General features: G+C 43.5%; 1 protein-coding gene across 47 annotated transcripts in view, besides 8 other annotated features; it reads right to left on the bottom strand.

The window, feature by feature from the left end:
• The window catches only part of CASP8 (caspase 8), a 54,249-nt gene that overhangs the window by 27,760 nt on the left and 6,384 nt on the right, over positions 1 to 20,105 (bottom strand). For 14 of the 47 annotated variants that reach the window (NR_111983.2, NR_174600.1, NR_174584.1 and 11 more), the window contains exon 1: positions 1,570 to 1,917. The exons of 20 other annotated variants lie outside the window; for them this stretch is intronic. Coding sequence is in view for 5 of the 27 variants with exons in the window: in XM_047445961.1 (XP_047301917.1) it covers positions 1,570 to 1,720 (151 nt within the window). In the remaining 22 variants the exon portion in view is untranslated. Of the gene's footprint in view, positions 1 to 1,569; positions 1,918 to 16,687; positions 19,683 to 20,105 lie in introns of those variants that run through there. 13 more of the 47 variants (NR_174593.1, NR_174585.1, NR_174591.1 and 10 more) reach the window with 2 other exon arrangements.
• Positions 1,112 to 1,531: an enhancer, noted in NCBI's record as "active region_16989". NCBI's record gives its function as "activates an Ori minimal core promoter by ATAC-STARR-seq in GM12878 lymphoblastoid cells {active_cell/tissue: GM12878}" and the evidence as "EXISTENCE:reporter gene assay evidence [ECO:0000049][PMID:35858748]".
• Positions 1,552 to 1,611: an enhancer, noted in NCBI's record as "active region_16988". NCBI's record gives its function as "activates an Ori minimal core promoter by ATAC-STARR-seq in GM12878 lymphoblastoid cells {active_cell/tissue: GM12878}" and the evidence as "EXISTENCE:reporter gene assay evidence [ECO:0000049][PMID:35858748]".
• Positions 1,608 to 1,752: an enhancer, noted in NCBI's record as "145 bp 2:202122995 sequence used in MPRA reporter constructs". NCBI's record gives its function as "activates a minimal TATA-containing promoter with rs3769823 allelic activity by MPRAs in C283T melanocytes and UACC903 melanoma cells {active_cell/tissue: C283T | UACC903}" and the evidence as "EXISTENCE:reporter gene assay evidence [ECO:0000049][PMID:36423637]".
• Positions 1,608 to 1,841: a biological region, named in NCBI's record as "melanoma risk locus-associated MPRA allelic enhancer 2:202122995".
• Position 1,680: a transcriptional cis regulatory region, noted in NCBI's record as "rs3769823 or 2:202122995 MPRA-significant variant associated with a GWAS melanoma risk locus at 2q33.1". NCBI's record gives its function as "allelic transcriptional activity by MPRAs in C283T melanocytes and UACC903 melanoma cells {active_cell/tissue: C283T | UACC903}" and the evidence as "EXISTENCE:reporter gene assay evidence [ECO:0000049][PMID:36423637]".
• Positions 1,712 to 1,841: an enhancer, noted in NCBI's record as "active region_16987". NCBI's record gives its function as "activates an Ori minimal core promoter by ATAC-STARR-seq in GM12878 lymphoblastoid cells {active_cell/tissue: GM12878}" and the evidence as "EXISTENCE:reporter gene assay evidence [ECO:0000049][PMID:35858748]".
• Positions 2,322 to 2,371: an enhancer, noted in NCBI's record as "active region_16986". NCBI's record gives its function as "activates an Ori minimal core promoter by ATAC-STARR-seq in GM12878 lymphoblastoid cells {active_cell/tissue: GM12878}" and the evidence as "EXISTENCE:reporter gene assay evidence [ECO:0000049][PMID:35858748]".
• Positions 11,540 to 11,599: an enhancer, noted in NCBI's record as "active region_16985". NCBI's record gives its function as "activates an Ori minimal core promoter by ATAC-STARR-seq in GM12878 lymphoblastoid cells {active_cell/tissue: GM12878}" and the evidence as "EXISTENCE:reporter gene assay evidence [ECO:0000049][PMID:35858748]".

Genomic DNA, 20,105 nt, shown 5'->3' with positions numbered 1-20,105 from the left:
AAAAACCTCTAAAAAGAAAAAACTCTGAAATAAAAAAATTCTAAAATGAAAAAAATCTAAAAAGAAAAAACTCTAAAATGCAAAAACTCTTTGGTAAGATGGTAAGTCCATCTTACCAAAGGTGATCCTTGTATATGAGTGTAGCTGAGGAAACCATGAAGTTAGCTGAAAGCTGGGTTTACCATCTTATCAAAGAAGCAAATCCTGGGGCCCTCACCATGTTGGGCTCTAGGGATATACCAGTAAACAAAATATTGCCTTCATACTGAGAGTTAGATGAAATGTTTTCTGATATTAAAAGTAGGAAAAGAAAATCAAACACCTCTCTTCTTTGAAACTGCCTTTTGTCTTTCCCCAAATAGAATATAAGCTTTCAGAGGGTAGGGACTCATAGCTGAGAAGACTGAACGAAGTATCTGAAAAGGACTCTTCACCAGAGAGGGCTAGGTCAAGATGGCCTCATAATATCAATGCCTGGATGGCCACCGTGGCTCATGCATGTAATCCTAGCACTTTGAGAGGCCAAGGTGGGAGGATCCCTTGAGCATAGGAGTTTGAGACCAGCCTGGGCAACAAAATGAGACACCATCTCTATGAAGAAAAATTTTTTAATTAGCCAGGTGTGGTAGCACGCGCCTGTGGTCCCAGCTAATCTGAAGGCTGAGATGGGAAAATTGCTTGATCCCAGGATGTTGAGGCTGCAGTGAGCCGTGATTGCACCACTGCACTGCAGCCTGGGTGACAGAGCAAGACTTTGTCTCAAAAAATAAATAAATAAAAAAGAAATAGAAACAGAATGAGCAAAATAAAATACCAATAGTATTAATATGCAATAATAATTGCTAACTCGTGTAGTAAGTGATGTATGCGTATTATCTCCTTCAAGCCTCACAGTCACCTCTGGAGGCATTATTAATCATTTAATGATGAGATAACAGAGGCACAGAGGAATTACTTGCCTGAGATCGCATAGTTAAAAAACAGTGTACACATACAAAAGAAAAATACATTTTGCAAAGATACAGATAAATTCACGAATCCACATCAAAACATTAGAGAACTGTCTTTGGGGAACAAGAGAGAGGGCAGGAGGGCAAGGGTGGGGGTGGAGAGATAAAAGGAAACCCTTCAGACACGGAAGAGGGGGAAGGGGCTGTGCACCTCAGGGCATCGTGATTCGACAGAATGACAGAATAAAGTACTTAACCGTCGGCCCCAGGGCCAAATGAAAAAGAAAAAAAAGTGGATTGATAAAGTCTTCTGGACTCTCCAAACGGGTCCACAGGAGGGAGACCGTGTATCTGCATTCGAGGCGGCAGGGAAGCTTGGAGGACAAAAAGGTAGCAGAGGAACTGGAGACTGCTCAGAGTGAAAAAGTAGCAAAGTCAGAGGCAACGGCTCAGAGAGAAACCACACAGGAGACCTGGGCCAGGCAGCACCCAGAGGTGTCCTCAGAAGGGCAGATCCAAGTTGCTTCCCCACCCCCACAGCCCTGTTTCTAGAGCAAGTCAAGAAACAAAAATATTGTGGTTTCCTGTTGAAGAGGCCACCTTGGCAACAGGCACTCACCCGCTCCACCCTTTCCTGGCACCATCGCAGTCTCCGAGTCCCCTAACCTGCCTAACTCCACGTGCTCAGCAGGGAAGGGGGTGGGAAAGGCTCCCAGGAAGAAGTTTCTTTTACTTTCAATAACCACCCTGGCTCTTCTGCCTCCCTCCATGGCCTCACTTCCTGTTGAGTTGACTAGCAAATTCAGCAGGGCTTGAAAAAAAACACAAAAGATAAAAGGAGGAGAACCTGTGAAAACACTTCCCTCCAGCAGAAAGGCAGAATCTGGTCTCCGAGAGAAAGAGAAAACTTCACCACAGAAGGAACTGCAGGGTAAACTTTACTCCTAAAGCAGAACAGAGATGACTCACTCGAACAAGAAATGTTTCCTGTTTAAAGGAACAGATGCCCAATTTCCAACCATTCAGAAGAGGGATGTGGCAGACAATTCATGGACGTGCAAACTAAAGCCCGAGCGCTGGACATGCTTTATTGGAAAGCATTTATACTGACTCCATTTAGTAATAATAACCCCTGTCGGTGGCAAGTAATATGCCATTCTTTCTTGCAAAGGGTCTGGGAATAGGAAGTTTCCCTTTGCCTTGATCAAACCTCAGCACTGAAGTCACAGACCAGCCCTCTCCTCCCTCCCGCCGGACTGGGTAAAGCCAGCCCTGTAGCTGAAATGTAGGTAGATTGTTCAGAAAAAAGGAGGAAGTGTTCTGGCTCAGCCCTACTTGGCTTAGCCCTGCTCGGCTCAGCCCTGCTCAGGCTGAGTTCCCATCCTTGGCCATGTTCTCCAGTTTAGTTGTAACCCGTGTCTTTGTAGCATTGATCCTGGAGTGTTGGTGCTACTGAGGTCTGTTCTCCAAAGCTCTGAGCCCTAGACCCTCCCCTGTTCTCTCATTTTTTTTTTTTTTTTGAGACGGAGTCTCGGTGCGTTGCCCAGGCAACAGTACAGTGGTGCGATCTTGACTCACTGCAACCTCCACCTCCTGAGTTCAGGTGATTCTCCTGCCTCAGCCTCCCGAGTAGCTGGGACTACAGGCACCCACCACCACCCCCGGCTAATTTTTGTATTTTTAATAGAGATGGGGATTCACCATGTTGGTCAGACTGGTCTTGAACTCCTGACCTCAAGAAATCCACCCGCCTTGGCCTCCCAAAGTGCTGGGATTACAGGCATGAGCCACGGTGCCCAGCCCCTCCCCTGTTCTCTGCCATCTGCCTCTCTTTCCCATTTGAATTTTTTGTTCGGGGGACGGAGTTTCGCTCTTGTTGCCCAGGCTGGAGTGCAATGGTGCCATCTCGGCTCACAGCAACCTCCGCCTCCCGGGTTCAAGCGATTCTCCTGCCTCAGCCTCCTGGGTAGCTGGGATTACAGGCATGCGCCACCATGCCCGGCTAATTTTGTATTTTTAGTAGAGACAGGGTTTCTCCATGTTGGTCAGGCTGGTCTCAAACTCACGACCTCAGGTGATCCACCCGCCTCGGCCTGGCAGAGTGCTGGGATTACAGGCATGAGGCAGCGCGCCCAGCCATGAATTTTTAAAAAGGGTTTTCTGCCCTTTTGCTTTCACATCTTGTACATTTTATAACCAGAACACCAGCAATAACACATTACCTATATGTTGCACCTTGACATGAACTATCTCTAATTCTGGCAGCAGAATTCTCTAATTCAGGGTATTGTTCTCCCATGTTATGGATGAGGAAACTAAGACTCAGACAGTTACATGGAGTCAAACTCAGTCCTGCTGAGCCAAAAACAGAGATTTTTCTATGACATACTAACTCCCTTTCTCCAACACTTCAAATTTGGAATGAATCATGTGGATGGAAGAGCAACAAATTTAAACTAATAGTGACTGGTGCATAAAGGGCAGAAGGTCCTTGGTTTCTCAGTCACCTAACAAAAAGGAGTTGGCCTAATAAAGGCACAAGCTAATACTTATCAAACCATTGGCGTATGCCAGACACAGCCACCTAAACTAGCTCATTTCCACTTCTGAACAGTTCTCAGAAGTGGATGCTACGATTGGTCCCATTTTATGGATGAGGACACTGAGGCTTAGAGAGGCTGAAAGACTTGGCCACGCTCAGTCAGTGAGTGACAGAATAAGGTCTGTTTGTCTCTAAAACCCTGAGTGGTTAGTCACCACCTAAACATTAATGCATAGCCATGAATCTCAATCTGACCCACCTCAGAATTAACTGTAACATTTCTAAAAATATGAGTCTTCCAGCTCCAGCTTTGGAACTCCTATCTGAGCAAAACTGTGGGAGATAAAACAGCTGGAGCACTTAGAATAGTGCCTGGGCCTTCCACATTTCTCAATAAATAGGCTGTGGGTGCAGTGGCTCACACCAGTAATCCCAGCACTTTGGAAGACCAAGGCAGGATGATCGCTTGAGCCCAAGAGATCGAGGCCAGCCTGGGCAACATAGGGAGACACTGTCTCTGCAGAAAATTTTAAAAAATTAGTCAGTTATGGTGGCATGCATCTGTTGTCTCAAGCTACTCAGGAGGCTGAGGTGAGAGGATAACTGGAGTGTGGGAGGTCAAGGCTGCAGTGAGCTATGATCACACCACTGCACTCCAGCCTAGGTGACAGAGCGAGGCCCTGTCTAAATAAATAAATAAACAAATAAATAAATATTCACTACTATGTTATTTAAGCTCACAACATCTCTAAGATGGCTATAAATTATTAGGCTTACATACAGATGATGCAATTAAATGCAACATCAATTAGCTGACAAATGGCAGGGCCAGTGCATGAACTCAGGAGTGTCTCACTCAAAAGTTTCTGCTCTTAGCCCCTGTACACATCTCCCTGCATGTACCCAGGCCCAGCCTAGCAGAAATGGATGATCTGCTGGAGGCATCTGAGGAGCAGTACTGAGAATGGGGGGAGCAGGGTAGGAGTGGGAGTCTCAGGGCTTCAACTTGTGCCATTTGTAAGGCACTGACCCTAGATTCTCCCAGTGTGTGTGTATATATATATGACTGATAAATGAATTATGGCCAGGCACAGTGGCTTACCCCTGTAATCCCAGCGCTTGAAGAGATTGAGGTAGGCGGATCACTTGAAGCCAGGAGTTTGAGACCAGCCTAGCCAACATGGCAAAACCCCATCTCTACTAAAAATACAAAAAAATTAGTTGGGCATGGTGGCATGTGCCTGTAGTCTCAGCCACTCAAGGCACGAGACTCACTTGAGCCCAGGAGGCGGAGGTTGCAGTGAGCCGAGATGACACCATTGCACTCCAGCGTGAGTGACAGAGGGACACTCCGTCTCAACAAAAATAAAAAGTGTTAATAAGTGAATTATAAACCTCAGGTTGGTTGAATTCCTATTGTGAAGCACAAAGATCATTATTACTTCATTTGCTGTAACCAACTTCTCACCCTCATCTTGAGACATGTGCCTGTGTGACTGTTTATATCAGAATTAATAATGTGCATGGTCCTTAGTCCCAGGGAAGCTGAAAGATCCGGAGGTGTTGCTGGAGCTGCAGGGACATGGAGAGCTGGCTCCTGCCCAGCACAGAATGAGGACAGGTCTGCTTTGACTCAATCTCCAAGTGGTTTCCACCCTCTAGAATCTCAGCTCCCACCTGGAGGCCTGGTCCTGAGACTACTGTGTCTCCTACCATGTCCACCAGCCGGCTGAAAGCAGATTTGGACCTGTAAGTGTCCCTAAAAAAGCCAAGAAAGACCAAACCTCAGCTCAACTGCAACACACCCTTCCCATTCATCTTGATGTGACACCCTTCAAAGATAAACACTCACAGTGAAAGCAAAATCCCCTGAATGTGCATGCCCTTTGTTTGTTGCCAATGTGGGAGTTTGTATATAACCCATGGGCCAGGATGGTGTGGTTTGTGGATTCAACGGGGCCGCTCCCCTTTCCTTGACTGGCAGCTGGCCTTGGCTACTGCCCTAGACTCCTCCTCCAGAGCGTGGCAAGGGAAGGGAAAACAGATTCCATTCACATCTATCTCATTCCTTTCTGGGCCTTGTAGGGAGAGGCTCAAAGAGTTGTCTAAGACAAAGATTTTAGCAACTGGGATTTTAAGTTTTTCTTTTGGTATTAAAATGATCAGACAGTCATGGGGCATTTACAGTTACTGACCTCAATCTGCATACTCTGCAGCTTGTTGATTGCCAATACCTACCCCTTCTGCTTTCTCAGAAAAACTACTGCAGACATGAATCCGTACCACGGATTTAGAAAGGAAGAAATTGAGTTTGTTAGACTCTGATTCCAATATTCATGTCACTGACCTAGCTTTTCCAGAATTTTTTTTTTTTTTTTGAGATGGAGTTTTGCTCTTGTTGCCCAGGCTGGAGTGCAATGGTGCAATCTCGGCTCACCGCAACCTCCGCCTCCTGGGTTCAAGCGATTCTCCTGCCTCAGCCTCCCGAGTAGCTGGGATTACAGGTGTGTGCCACCACACCCAGCTAATTTTGTATTTTTAGTAGAGACGGGTTTTCTCCATGTTGGTCAGGCTGGTCTCGAACTCCCGACCTTAGGTGATCGACCCACCTCGGCTTCCCAAAGTGGTGGATTACAGCTGTGAGCCGCTGCGCCTGGCCCAGAATTTTCTTAAAGGTTTGGGCATAGAAGAGGTGAGGATCCCCAATATTCTTGAGGCACTATATGCCCATACCCAAGAAATGGGGCACCTCAGACGCTAAGAATAATTGTCAAGAACCATCTTTTAAAATGTATTAATTGTGGTAAAATATATATACCATAAAATTTACCATTGTAACCAGTTTTAAGTGACATCAAGTACATTCACGTCGTTATGCAACCATTCCCACCACCCAGGAGTCACTTTTAATGATATAATAACAGTGCATTTGTTAAGCACTGTGCAGTTTTAAAGCATTTTCCCTATTTTATATCATTAGATCCTCACTGGTAACATTTTTTGGTCTCAGGGGTAGAAGAGCATGTGTCTTACAGACAGGAAGACGTTGAAGAAACGAAAGCTCAGAAAAGTGAAGTGACTCTGAAGGGCCTACATAGCTACTGTAACCTACATACAGCACTAGTGACTGTTTCTTAAAAAAAAAAAAAAAAAAAAAAAAAAAAAAGATCAGGCTAGGTGCAGTGGCTCACATTTATAATCCTAGCACTTTGAGAGGCTGAAGTGGGAGGATCACTTGAGCTCAGGAGTTTAAGATCAGCCTGGGCAACATACTGTCTTTACCAAAAATCAAAAAAATTAGTCGGGTGTGGTGGTGCAGTGGTGGTGCACACCTGTGGTCCCAGCTACTCAGGAGGCTGAGGCAGGAGGATTGCTTAAACCCAGGAGTTCAAGGCTGCAGTGAGCTATGATTGCATCACTGCACTCCAGCCTGGGGGACGGAGCGAGCCCCTGTCTAAAACAAAAAAAAATCAGATGTTGGGAGGGTTATTCCCTGAAACAGATATTTTCTCCATTAGGTTTCACTCCTCACTTTCTGTAAAGAAAATTCCTTTTTTTTCCCCCTCCATAATAAGTGGATTTTAAGAGTATCTGTGGTAGTAACAAAACACATTCACTACAAAATGAATTAGGCAATTATTTCTTTCCTCAAAACTGTTAGTGATAACACCACGTATTCTCAGTAGATCTAGAAGGTGGGTTATAAAATTAACTTTTCGTGGTTTACAACATATGACACAAAATCCTAGTTTCTGAGAAAATGAGTCATCTCTCACCTGACATGACATGTTGTTGTGGGGGACCAGATGTTCTTTGAGATCCCCCTTCAAAAGATACAGTTAAGAGTGAAGAGACAAACCACAGATTGGGAGAAAATGTTTGCAAAACAAAAGACCGTTACCCAAAAGCGTACAAAGAACTCTTAAAACTCAACCATACTGGTGGATCACGAGGTCAAGTGATCCAGACCATCCTGGCCAACATGGTGAAAGCCCGTCTCTACTAAAAATACAAAAATTAGCTGGGCATGGTGGCACACACCTGTAGTCCCAGCTACTCGGGAGGCTGAGGCAGGAGAATTGCTTGAACTTGGGAGGTAGAGGTTGCAGTGAGCCAAGTTCATGCCACTGTACTACAGCCTGGTGACAGAGCGAGACTCTGTCTCAAAAAAAAACAAAAACAAAAACAAAAACCATGCTGTTATCCAAAAATATACAAAGAACTCTTGACACTCAACAATAACAAAACAAACAACCCAATTGAAAAGTGGGCAAGAGATCTGAACAGATACCTCACCAAAAACATATACAGATGGCAAATAAGCATATGAAAAGATGTTCAACATCATATGTCATTAGGGAATTGCAAATTAAAACAACAGTGAGATACCACTACATATTTGCCAAAATTGCTAAAATCCGAAACACTGACACCACCAAACATTGGCAAGGATGTGAAGTAACAGGAACTCTCATTCATTACTCGTGGGAATGAAAACTCATACGGACACTTTGGAAGAAAGTCTGGAAGTTTGTCATGAAGCTTTTTTTTTTTTTAGACGGAGTCTCACTCTGTCTCCCAGGCTGGAGTGCAACGGCAAGTGTGATCTTGGCTCACTACAGCCTCTGCCTCTGGGTTCAAGCGATTCTCCTGCCTCAGCCTCCCAAGTTGCTGGGATTACCGGCATGACCACCACGCCCAGCTAATTTTTGTATTTTTAGTAGAGACAGGGTTTCACCATGTTGGTCGGGCTGGTGTTAAACTCCTGACTTCAAATAATACACCTGCCTCCGCCTCCCAAAGTGCTGAGATTACAGGTGTGAGCCACTGCGCCTGGCCATTTTTTTTTCTTTTTTTTTTTTTTTGACACAGAGTCTCACTCTATTGCCCAGGCTGGAGTGCAGTGGCGCCATCTTGGCTCAATGCAACCTCCACCTCCCAGGTTCAAGCGATTCTCCTGCCTCAGCTTCCTGAGTAGCTGGGATTACAGGCACACGCCACCACGCCCAGCTAATTTTTGTATTTTTTTTAGTAGAGATGAGGTTTCACTGTGTTAGCCAGACTGGTCTTAAACTGCTGATCTCAGGTGATCCCACCTCAGCCTCCCAAAGTGCTGGGATCACAGTCATGAGCCACCGCGCCTGGCCAAAGCATATGCTTACCGCAAGATCCAGCAATCACGTTTCTAGATATTTACCCAAATTGAACATTTATGTCCATGCAAAAACCTGCACATGAATGTTTATACCAGCTTTATTCATAATTCATAACTGCCAAAAGTTGGAAGCAACCAAGATGTCCCTCAATAAATGAATGGATAAACTGTGGCACATCCATACCATAGATTATTATTCAGCAATAAAAAGAAATGAGCTATCAAACCACGCAAAGGCATGGAAGAGCCTTAATTGAATGTTACTATGTGAAAGAAGGCAATCTGGAGAGGCTACATACTGTATGATTCCAACTATGTGACATTCTGATTAAAACTATAGAGACAGTGGTTGCCAGGGACTCAGGGGAGGAAGTGTGAATAGGTTCAGCACAGGGGATTTTTAGGGGAGTGAAATTATTCTGTACAATATTGTAACGGTTCTACATGGCATTATTCATTTGGCAAAACCGGTAGGATGTACACCAAAAGTGAACCCTAATGGAAACTATGGAACTTTAGTTCAGAATAATTTATTGATGGGATTCAGGACGTGCTACCACAAAATATGGCACCACGACTGACATGGTTTGGATTTGTGTCCTCACCCAAACTCATGTCCAGTTGTAATTCCTAATGTTGGAGGCGGAGCCTGGTGGGAGGTGATTGGATCTTGGGGGTGGTTTCTAATAGTTTAGCACCATCCCCACAGTGCTGTTTGCATGATAGAATTCTCATGATATTCTGGTTGTTTAAAAATATGTGGCACCTCCCCGCTCTCTTGCTTCCCCTGCTCTAGCCACATGAGATGTCTCGCTCCCCCTTTGTCTTCCACCATAATTGTAAGTTTCCTGAGGCCTCCCCAGAAGCCAAGCAGATGCCAGCATCATGCTTCCTATACAGTCTGTGGAACCATGAGCCAATTAAAACTCTTTTCTTTATAGATTGCCCAACCTCAGGTATCTCTTTAGAGCAATGCAAGAACAGACTAACACAATGACATATTGAATATTTTAAGGTGAAGGAATTTGCAAAAGCAGCATGTGCAGGAAGGGTTTTCTGACCTTCTCCTGAAGCCAGGTCATAAGACCCTCAGGTGAGAGATGCCCTCCCTATACCTGGTGGTATCTGTGAAGACAAAGGGACACAGAGAGGAATCTAACTAAACAAACGGGCCTTGATAAGCTTCTGCCAGCGGACTACACTTACTTCAAACTCTTTGCTCTATCATATCCTCCACAACTGTCCACCCTTTATCAAACCTACATCAAACTGTAACTGCTTCTTGGAGTCTTCATTTCCTTATAAAGGCTTCCATGTCACATAAAACTTAAATATGTTTATGCACTTTTCTCTTATTAATCTGTCTTCTGTTATAGGGTTCTCAGCCATGAACTTAGAAGGGTAGAAGGAAAACAGATTTGCCCTCCCCTACAATATCAATATTGGTTCATCACTTGTAACAAATGTACCACACTAATGCAAGATGTTAATAACGGGAAAGTGTGGGGAGGGGAGAAGTGTAGGAGGCAGAGGGTATATGGGAACTCTCTACTTTCTGCTCTTTCTTTTTTTTTCTTTCTGAGACAGGGTCTCTCTCTGTCACCTAGGCTAGAGTGCAGTGGTGTGATCTCAACTCACTGCAACCTCCGCCTCCCGCGCTCAAGCGATCCTCTCGCCTTAGCCTCCCGAAGCCAATCTGATTAAGCTAATCTGTTAAGACTCAACAATAAGAAAACAACCCGATTGAAAAGTGGGCAAGAGGTCTGAACAGACACCTCACAAAAAGATACGCAGATGGCAAATAAGCATATGAATAAGCTGGGACTACAGGTGCATACCACCATGCCCAGCTAATCTGCTCTGTTTTTTCTCTAAACCTGAAACTGTTCTTAAAAAATAATCCATTAATTTTTTAAAGTCTCACACTCTATTCTCACTTGATACATGGGTAAAGGTGACAATGAGGTGAAGTGAAAAAAGGATCGTCTTTATAGTAAATAACGACAGATCAACAAGATAGCCATATAAAAATAAAATGAGCCTTGATTTCCTACCCACACAAAATTCAAATCCAGATGGATAGTCAATCTAAATATAAAAAGGAAGCAATTGACCAGGGCGTGGTGGCTCACACCTATAATCCCAGCACTTTGGGAGGCCAAGGCAGGTGGATCACCTGAGGTCAGGAGTTGAAGACTAGCCTGACCAACATGGCAAGACCCCCACCTCTACTAAAAATACAAAAATTGGCTGGGCATGGTGGGGGGCACCTGTAGTCCCAGCTACTCAGGAGGCTGAGTCATGAGAATTGCTTGAACCCAGGAGGCAGAGGTTGTAGTGAGCCAAGATCGCAGCACTGCACTCCAGCCTGGGCAACAGAGTAAGACTCTCTCAAAAAAGAAGGAAGCAGTAAAACTTTATGAGAAATCCTAAGAGAATGTCTTTATGATATTGGAGTAGACAAAAACTCAAAAAGGACACAAAAAGTGCTGACCATAAGGGGAAAAAACCACCAACAGGACCATTTTAGAATTAAGAGCTTCTTTTCAGAAAAATGATACCATTAAGAGAGTGAAGAGGCAGGCTAGAGAATAGGAGAGGAAATGCTATGATAGAGAGCAATCTCCAACATGTGTTGGTAAGTGAAAAAGGGGTGTGGCAGAACAGCATGGATAGAACAGTGAACAGATAACGGACAAAAAGAGCGGCCACTAGAAATTACACAATGGTGTCTCCTCTGCATCTCAGCCCTTTAATAGATCAATAGTACCAAAGTGAAAACACTTTCAACAAATTTCTGAAGGAAAATTTGCATCTTGTTTTCAGTTGAGTATTAACTGAAAGTCTCACTCAGGCTGAAAACCTAAATTGATGATGTTGCTACTTGGGATAGTCCATTACAGTCGCCTCCATTGTCAGCTGCATCCGCACCTCATCTGGACGGACATTCACTCGGTACACAAGGTGGATGCTCATCAAAGCCCCCTTCTGCTGGGGCCTTCCTGCAACCAGCTACACTCAAGGACCCCTGCACTCGATCCACCCACAGGTCGTGGTTCCTCAGGATTTTCTTGCCCTACTCCCTATTATATTGTTCTGGATATTTTTCTTTACCTGCTTAATTACCGAAATAGTAGAAAAAGCGAGAGATTTAATTACTATACTAAAGAAGTGGAAAGTTTTAGCCTCAAAAGTCAAGGCTGTCATTCACTAATAGGTGGTGCTGTCCAGGCACAGTGACTCACACCTGTAATCCTACCAATTTGGGAGGCTGAGGCAGGTGGATCACTTGAGGCCAGGAGTCCAAGACCAGCCTGACAAACATAGTGAGACCCCCATCTCTACTAAAAATACAAAAGTTGGCCGGGCGCAGTGGCTCACGCCTGTAATCCCAGCACTTTGGGAGGCCAAGGCGGGCGGATCACGAGGTCAGGAGATCGAGACTATCCTGGCTAAAACAGTGAAACGCTGTCTCCACTAAAAATACAAAAAATTAGCCAGGTGTGGTGGCGGGCACCTGTAGTCCCAGCTACTCGGGAGGCTGAGGCAGGAGAATCCCTTGAACCCGGGAGGTGGAGGTTGCAGTGAGCCGAGATCGCACCACTGCACTCCAGCCTGGGCAACAGAGCGAGACTCCATCTCAAAAAAAAATACAAGAATTAGCCAGGAATGGTGGCACACGCTTGTAGTCCCAGCTACTTGGGAGGCTGAGGCATGAGAATCACTTGAACCTGGGAGGCAGAGGTTGCAGTGAGCCGAGATCACACCACTGCATTGGGCAACAGAGTGAGGCTCTGTTTCAGGAAAAAAAAAAAAAAAAATAGGTTGTGCTAATGAGGATTCTGAGAAATCCTGCAGCCCCTGGGGAAATGTGGAGCTGAGGGTCAAGGTCACAGACAGAAGGAAGGCGCCTTCAGCATGGATGCTATGGGGACCCAGTGAGCTCTCAGTAGGCTCCAGAAGCAACCTAATTCACATACATGCAGTTAAAAGAAAAGTCTCACCCTGATGTCCCAGTGGCCACCAGACACACATCCTCAACAGCCTAGATAATTCTAGAATCAGATAGATTTCTTCCTAAAATTCTTCTTTTTTTTTTTTTTTTTTTTTTTTTGAGACAGACAGTCTCACTCTGCCGCCCAGCCTGGAGTGCAGTGGTGTGATCTTGGTTCACTGCAACCTCCACCCCGCCAGCTCAAGCAATTCTCCTGCCTCAGCTCCCTAGCAGAATACAGGCGCCTGCCACTGCACCCAGCTAGTTTTTGTATTTTTAGTAGAGACAGGGTTTCACCATCTTGGCCAGGCTGGTCTTGAACTCCTGATCTCGTGATCCACCCACCTCGGCCTCCCAAAGTGCTGGGATTACAGGAGTAAGCCACTGTGCCCAGACAACTTCTTCCTAAAATTCTAAGCAAATCTTACCCAAGGGCAATTGCAGCTCCTTTCTTGCTCCTCCCTGGCCCCCCAAAATTCCAAAAAACAATGAAAGTCAAATGAAGAACATTTTGCGTTCCAGTTGACACAACTTTTGGGATTTTTGCAGACAGAACAGACTCTTAGCAAAGTGGTGTGGGAGGGTTGGGATCTGAGCAGGACATGCAGTTCACATTTTTTCAAAGCCTCAGGACAGATCCTGGTGTGGAATGGTGAGAATACAGGCTGGGGAGTCAGTCAGCTGAACTGGGGGTGAGGGTGGTCGATTCAGGTCTTAGTCCAACTTCCAGATTTCCAAATGTGAGAAATTAGACTAGAGGTTGTCTAAGAACACTTTCTGTCCAAACATTTGATGATTGCATAATAATATGTTTTTTTCACTCAAGTTCTCATCTTATTTTTCTTCTGCAATTCTAGTGTGTGTGGGGATGGGGGTGGACTTCCAGTTCCGAGACACGATGGCATAGATTCACTTTTCCCTGCTTCTCCCCTCTAAGGACACCTAAATACCCTGGGAATAAATCAACAGACAATCACACAACCCTGAGAGGTGGAAAGTAGAGGCAGACTGGCGGGGGACCCAGAGGCAGGAACAACACCCTGTTTTGTGCCCTGGGCTGTCTTTTTATTCCCACACATGCCAGACTGAAAACGAAAGAGGCCTGCAATCCAGAACCACCAACAGGCCTAAATTAGAAAGAACAAATGGCTGGGCCCAGTGGCTCACGCCTGTAATCCCAGCACTTTGGGAGGCCAAGGCAGGCAGATCACCTGAGGTTGGGAGTTCGAGACCAGCCTCAACATGGAGAAACCCCGTCTCTACTAAAAATACAAAATTAGCCGGGCATGGTGGCACATGCCTGTAATCCCAGCTACTTGGGAGGCTGAGGCAGGAGAATTGCTTGAACCTGGGAGGTAGAGGTTGCGGTGAGCCGAGATTGCACCATTGCACTCCAGTCTGGGCAACAAGAGCGAAACTCCGTCTCAAAAAAAAAAAAAAAAAAAAGAACAAACAAGGAAAAGCAACAGAAAGAAAAGCCTGCTCTCTCTGGCCAAAGGGCCAGGAAAGGGCAGCAAAGCGGAAGCCCAGCAGGGAGATACATGCCCATGATTCACACCTGGGCAAGGACAGCTGACCTGGCCTGCAGCAGCAGGGTCAACAGGAGCTGCCTGGAACCTACGCCTCACTCCAAACCTGGAGCCGTGGCAGGCTACACTGGTGGTCCCCTGGGTCTATGATAAGGAAGTGGAAGCAGCAGATGATGAGGTTGCAACCAGACTCAGATTTCTAGCTTTGTTCATGATACTCCGGATGGTTATCAAGTCCAGTGGCTGGGGACAGTGGCTCACGCCTGTAATCCCAACACTTTGGGAGGCCGAGGTGGGCGGATCACTTGAAGTTAGGAGTTCGAGACCAGGCTAGCCAACATGGTGAAACCCTGTCTGTACTAAAAATACAAAAATTAGCCAGGCATGGTGGTGCGTGTCTGTAATTCCAGCTACTCGGGAGGCTGAGGCATAAGAATCACTTGAACCTGGGAGATGGAAGTAGCAGTGAGATTGAGCCACTGCACTCCAACCTGGGTGACAGAGTGAGACTCTGTCTCAAAAAAAAAAACAAAAACAAATAAAAAACCTCCTTGTGAGGTCAGGTCAATCAATCGGTGACACAATTTCAGATCTTAGATGGTTGATTCCCAGGCATAGAATGCATCTGATAATGGCCCCAGATTTGTGGCCCAAGCCACACATCAATGGGCCCAAGCATGGGGCATATATGATGGACGCCCTATGCTCTCTATCGCCTCCAAGCAGCAGGGATGATTGAGTGTTTTAGTAGACAATTGAAGGACAGGGTTAAGTGACTGACAGGAGGGAATAAAAGAACCTCGGCCTGGACTATGCATCTCAGGGGAACAGTCTGGGGTCCCAGTGTGGCATTCCTCAAAGGGGCAGTCATCATTTGCGCTGCATATTTGATCAGACTGTCTACCTGCTTCCTTTTATTGCACAGCCTCAGTCTCTCTGGGGAACCCTACAAGGGCCCCCCACCCCCTTCAATTCCTTTCTAAAGACTCAGATAGGTGAGAGATTAGATTAGCTATTAAAAAACAAAGCATGAGAGACAGTAACCCTCTTCATCAGTTATCCCTTTGGTGCTGAGCATGGATTTTTTTGCCTGCAAAAAATAATCACTATCAACTTGAGGCTTCTAATTCAATGTTTTCCATAAAGTGGCTTTGTTGCTTTGCCTGGTTATTTTCAAGGGATGGATATCAATGTACAGAAGAGAAACTTTTTTTTTTAGTCATCAGAGGATCCAGGCCAGATTACAGCCCACCTCCCTGGAGGATAGTCGGAAGATGCTACCCTTACCCATGTCACAGTGGTTGGGGAAAATTCCCCCAACGTGAGCGCCTATGAACCCATGAGCCAGGGTACAGAGGAGGGAGAAGTGGGAATCTAACCTTCCTTCTCTCTCTCCTACAGAATAGACTGTGTGACTTCCAAGTCACTAAATTCATTGATATGCCTGTCCCAGGCAGTTCCCCAGTGAATTTGACAAAATGCTGGATGTATCCCCACAAATAAATATTTTGTTCCTGTGCCACTGAATGCTGCAAACAAACATTTCTGTAAACATGGATTTTTCTGGTACCTAAGCTACCCCAGGCATATTAATCTGTACACGATGCTGGAAGTGATCTTGATCCTGACCATGGTCTATTTATTGTAACTGCAGACTAATAACCTGGCTCCTAACAGAGACCCTCAAAATCCAACCCATTCAGGTCCATGATGGGGTAGCCTATGTTTCTCGCTTGGGCTCTGAAAAATCAAAGGATGGAGTTTAGGAATTATTTGGGCTCCAGGCCAAAATCCTATGTGTAATCTGTCAGGCCCAGCCATTAGCAATTACAAAGGCTTTACCTGGCAGGCCAAACAGGGGATTGCTGCCCCCCGACCCTTCACTCCCTCAACAGACTTGAACAGACTTTGTGTATAATCCATGCGTGGCAGGTCCTTGGGGGAGCTGCAGTCAGGACTCAGCCCATCGCCTCCTGTATGCCTCGGGACAGCCATGCTGTTATGCGTATTAAACTAACTTATCAAATCACCTAACTTGTTAAATTGGCCAGGCCCTCCAAAACAGGGTGGAACAATACATTAATAACGATATTACACGTTCCTGAGTTTAATGAGAAGCACTCCAGAACTTCCTAATTCATATGATTTTTGATTTGGGCATCTGGTAGGTATTTTTATCAAGTTAGGGACTTTTCCTTACCTATTAGCTTCCTAGTATTTGACAAAAATCAGAAAGGGGCATTAAATTATCAAAAAGAAATGTCAGGATCTTTTGAGATGATTATAGGATTTTTCTGTCTGAGTTTCTTAAAAGTAAATTATTTACATTATGCTTGTGGATTCAAGGCTATGTGCACCTTGCAAAGTGAGTTGGGAAATCTCTTCTATATCCTATAGCTGCCTCAATAACAGAAATTGTCTTGTGTGTAAATTGACTATTCATTGCTTTTAATTAAATGGAAATTAGGTATTGACCTTTTTATGTATAGGAATCCTATGTATAGGAATCCTTTTCTATTGCTTTATCAATTATATTTTATTGTAGTAAGAACATTTAAGTGAGATCTACCCTCTTAGCAAATGTTTAAGTGTACAATACAGTATTGTTGACTATAGGTACAATGTTGTACAGCAGATCTCTAGAACTTACTCATCTTGCTTAACTAAAACTTTATGCTTGTTGACAGGCAACTCATTTCCCCCCTCCCCAGCCCCTGGCAACCACCATTCCACTCTTTGATTCTATAAATTTGACTACTTTAGATACCACATGTAAGTAGAATCATACAGTATTTGTCTTTTGGTGACTGGCTTATTTCACTTAGCATAATGTCTTCAAGATTCATCCATGTTGTCTTATATTATAGAATTTCCCTCCTTTATAAGGCAAATAATATTCCATTTTATGTGACTACCACATTTTCTTTCCCCATCCTAGATATTTAGGTTGTTTGCACATCTTGGCTACTGTAAATAGTGCTGCTATGACCATGGGAGTATAATATATTTAGAAATCAGGAAGTATGGTGCTTCTAGCTTTGTTCTTCCTCAAAACTGATTTAGCTATTTGTGGTCCTTTTTATACTTCAGAGGTTTTTTTCTGTAAAAAAAAAATCCATTGGGATGTTAATAGAGATCACACCAAATTTGTAGATTGCTTTAGGTAGTATATGCAATAGACTGATGTTTGTTTCCCCTAAAATTCATATGTTGAAACCTAATCCCCTATGTGTTGGTATTTGGAGATGGGACCTTTGGGAGGTGATTAGGTCATGAAGGTAGAGCACTTATGAATGGGACTAGTGCCTTATAAAAGAAATCCCAGAGCGCTCCATCACCCTAATTCCATGAGGACACATGGAGAAGATGGCCATTTATGAACCAAGAAGCAGGCCCTCACTAGATAGCAAATCTGCTAGCTACTTGATCTTGAATTTCCTAGCCTCCAGAACTGTGAAAAATAAATTTCTGTGTTTTATAAGCCACCAGTCTATGGTATTTTGTTTTAGCAGGCTGAATGGACTAAGGCACTGTATATGCATGGATTTATTTCTGAGCTCTCTCTTCTCTTCTGATGGCCTATGTGTTTGTCTTTATGCTATTCCCATGCTGTTTCAATTACTATAGCTTTGTAATATATTTGAAACATATTATGAATCCCATATATGAAAAGCTCACATCTAATATAATACTCAACAGTGAAAATTTTCTTATATATGGTCTTGATGATGTTGAGACTCTATTTCCAGTTTGTTGAAAAATTGTTTAATCACGAAAGGGTATTGAATTTTGTCAAATGCTTTCTCTGCATCTATTGAGATGATCATGTTATCTTTATATCTTTGCCCTGTTAATAGGCCATTTCGCACTGATTTATTTTTGTATGTTGATCCATACTTGTATCCTAGGGATAAATGCCACTCAGTCAGGATGTACGATCATTTAAATGTACTGTTGAATTTGATTTGCTAGTATTTTGTTATGAGTTTTTATATGTATATTCATCAGAGATATTGACCTGCAGTTTTCATTTCTTGTGGTGTCTTTGTTTGGCTTTGGTATCGGGATAATGTTGGCCACATAAAATAAATTTGGAAGTGTGCCCTCTTCTTCAATTTTTAAAAATAGTTTAAGAAGAACTGGCATTAATTCTTCTTGAGATGTTTGGAAGAATTCACCTGTGAAGCCATCTGGTCCTGGACTTCTTCGTTTGGGGAACATTTTTGATTATTGACTAAACCTCCACATTAGTTATAAGTCTGTTCAGACTTTGTATTTCTTCATGATTCAGTCATCGTAGATTGGAAGGTTTTGTGAATTTATTCATTTCTTCTAGATTATCCAGTTTGTTGGAATAGAATTGTTCATTATAGCCTCATGTTTTTATTTCTGTGGCATCAGTTGTAATGTCTCCTCTTTTATTTCTGATATTGTTTATTTGAGTCTTCTCTCTTTCTTACTTAGCCTAACTAGGGATTTGTTGATTTTGTTTATCTTTTCAAAAAACCAATTCTTTTGTTATTCTTTTCAAAAAATTTGTTGATTTTTTTTCTATTGCTTTTCTATTCTGTATTTTCTTGGTTCCTACTCTAATCTTTGTTATTTCCTTCACTAATTTTAGGCTTAGTTCCTCTTCTTCTTCATCTTCTTCTCCTCTCCTTGAGGCACGAAGTTAGACTATTTACTTGAGATCTTTCTTCTTTTTCACTGCAGATGTGTATTGCAATAAAGTACCTCTTAGTACTTCTTTGCTTAGTACTGCTTTTATCCTGTAAGTTTGGGTATGTTGTGCTTTTCTTTTCATTTATCTCAAGATATTTCCTAATTTCTTTTTTTATTTTTATGGCCTAATTGTTGTTCAAGAGTGTGTTGTTTAATTTCCACATATTTGTGAACTTTCTATTTTTCCTTCTGCCATTGATTTTTAGTTTCATTCCATCATGGTCAGAAAAGATACATGGTATGATTTCAGTCTCTTAAATTTGCAAAGACTTGTTTTGTGACCCAACTTGTGATCTACCTTGGAGAAAGTTCCATGTGCATTTGAGGATAATGTGTGTTCTACTGCTGTAGGGTGGAACGTTCTGTGTATTTCTGTTCGGTCCATTTGGTCTATAATGTTGTTTAAGTCCCCTGTTTCCTTATTAATCTTCTGTCTGAATGTTCTATCCATTATTTAAAGTACAGTGTTGAAGTCTCCTACTATTTTTGTATGGCTGGCTATTTCTCCCTTCAGTTCTGTCATTGTTTGTTTCATATATTTAGGTGCTCTGATATTGAGTGCATATATTTATAATTGTTATATCTTCATGGTGGATTGATGCTTTTTTCATTATATAATATACTTTAATGTCTCTTGTGACAGTTTTTGACTTAAAGTCGATTTTGTCTGATATAAATAGAGCCACTCTTGCTCTCTTTGGGTTGTCATCTGCATGGAATGCCTCGTTCCATCCCTGACAGGAGGCATCATAGTTCTGCTCTTCTAAAGGGCAATGATTCTAATGTTTCTCTGTGGGTAGGGGGAAAAGGAAAAGACAGAAAAATAACAGAAAATGTGAGATAGTGAATGGCCTTAAGAATTCTTTTCTGTCCTTGTAGACAATGGGCCCTGAAGGAGAAGAGTGTTCCTGGGCCAAATCTGCATGCATACACACAGTTTGATCTGCCTGGCTTATGAGGGATTCACATCTAGGCCTTACCTCCCACATGCTAAAAATGGGCCTATTTGAGTAACATGGGTGCTTCAAAAATCTCTATGAACTAATTTGAGGGGAAAAGGGGCACAGATGCAGAGGTAACTAGAAGGGATCATAAGTCCCCAAAATGCTCTGAAACTAGGGCCTTGCTGGTATTGGATAGAAGGGCAAAAGAGAGCCAGATCTCAGGAACTTGGTTTCACTTATCAACAGACAAATGCTGTCCCAGCTTGCAT

Source organism: Homo sapiens, chromosome 2 (assembly GCF_000001405.40).
Source record: "Homo sapiens chromosome 2, GRCh38.p14 Primary Assembly".
NCBI lineage: Eukaryota > Metazoa > Chordata > Mammalia > Primates > Hominidae > Homo > Homo sapiens.
Note: the sequence above shows the minus strand (reverse complement) of the source record. Positions and strands in the feature narration are given on the sequence as shown.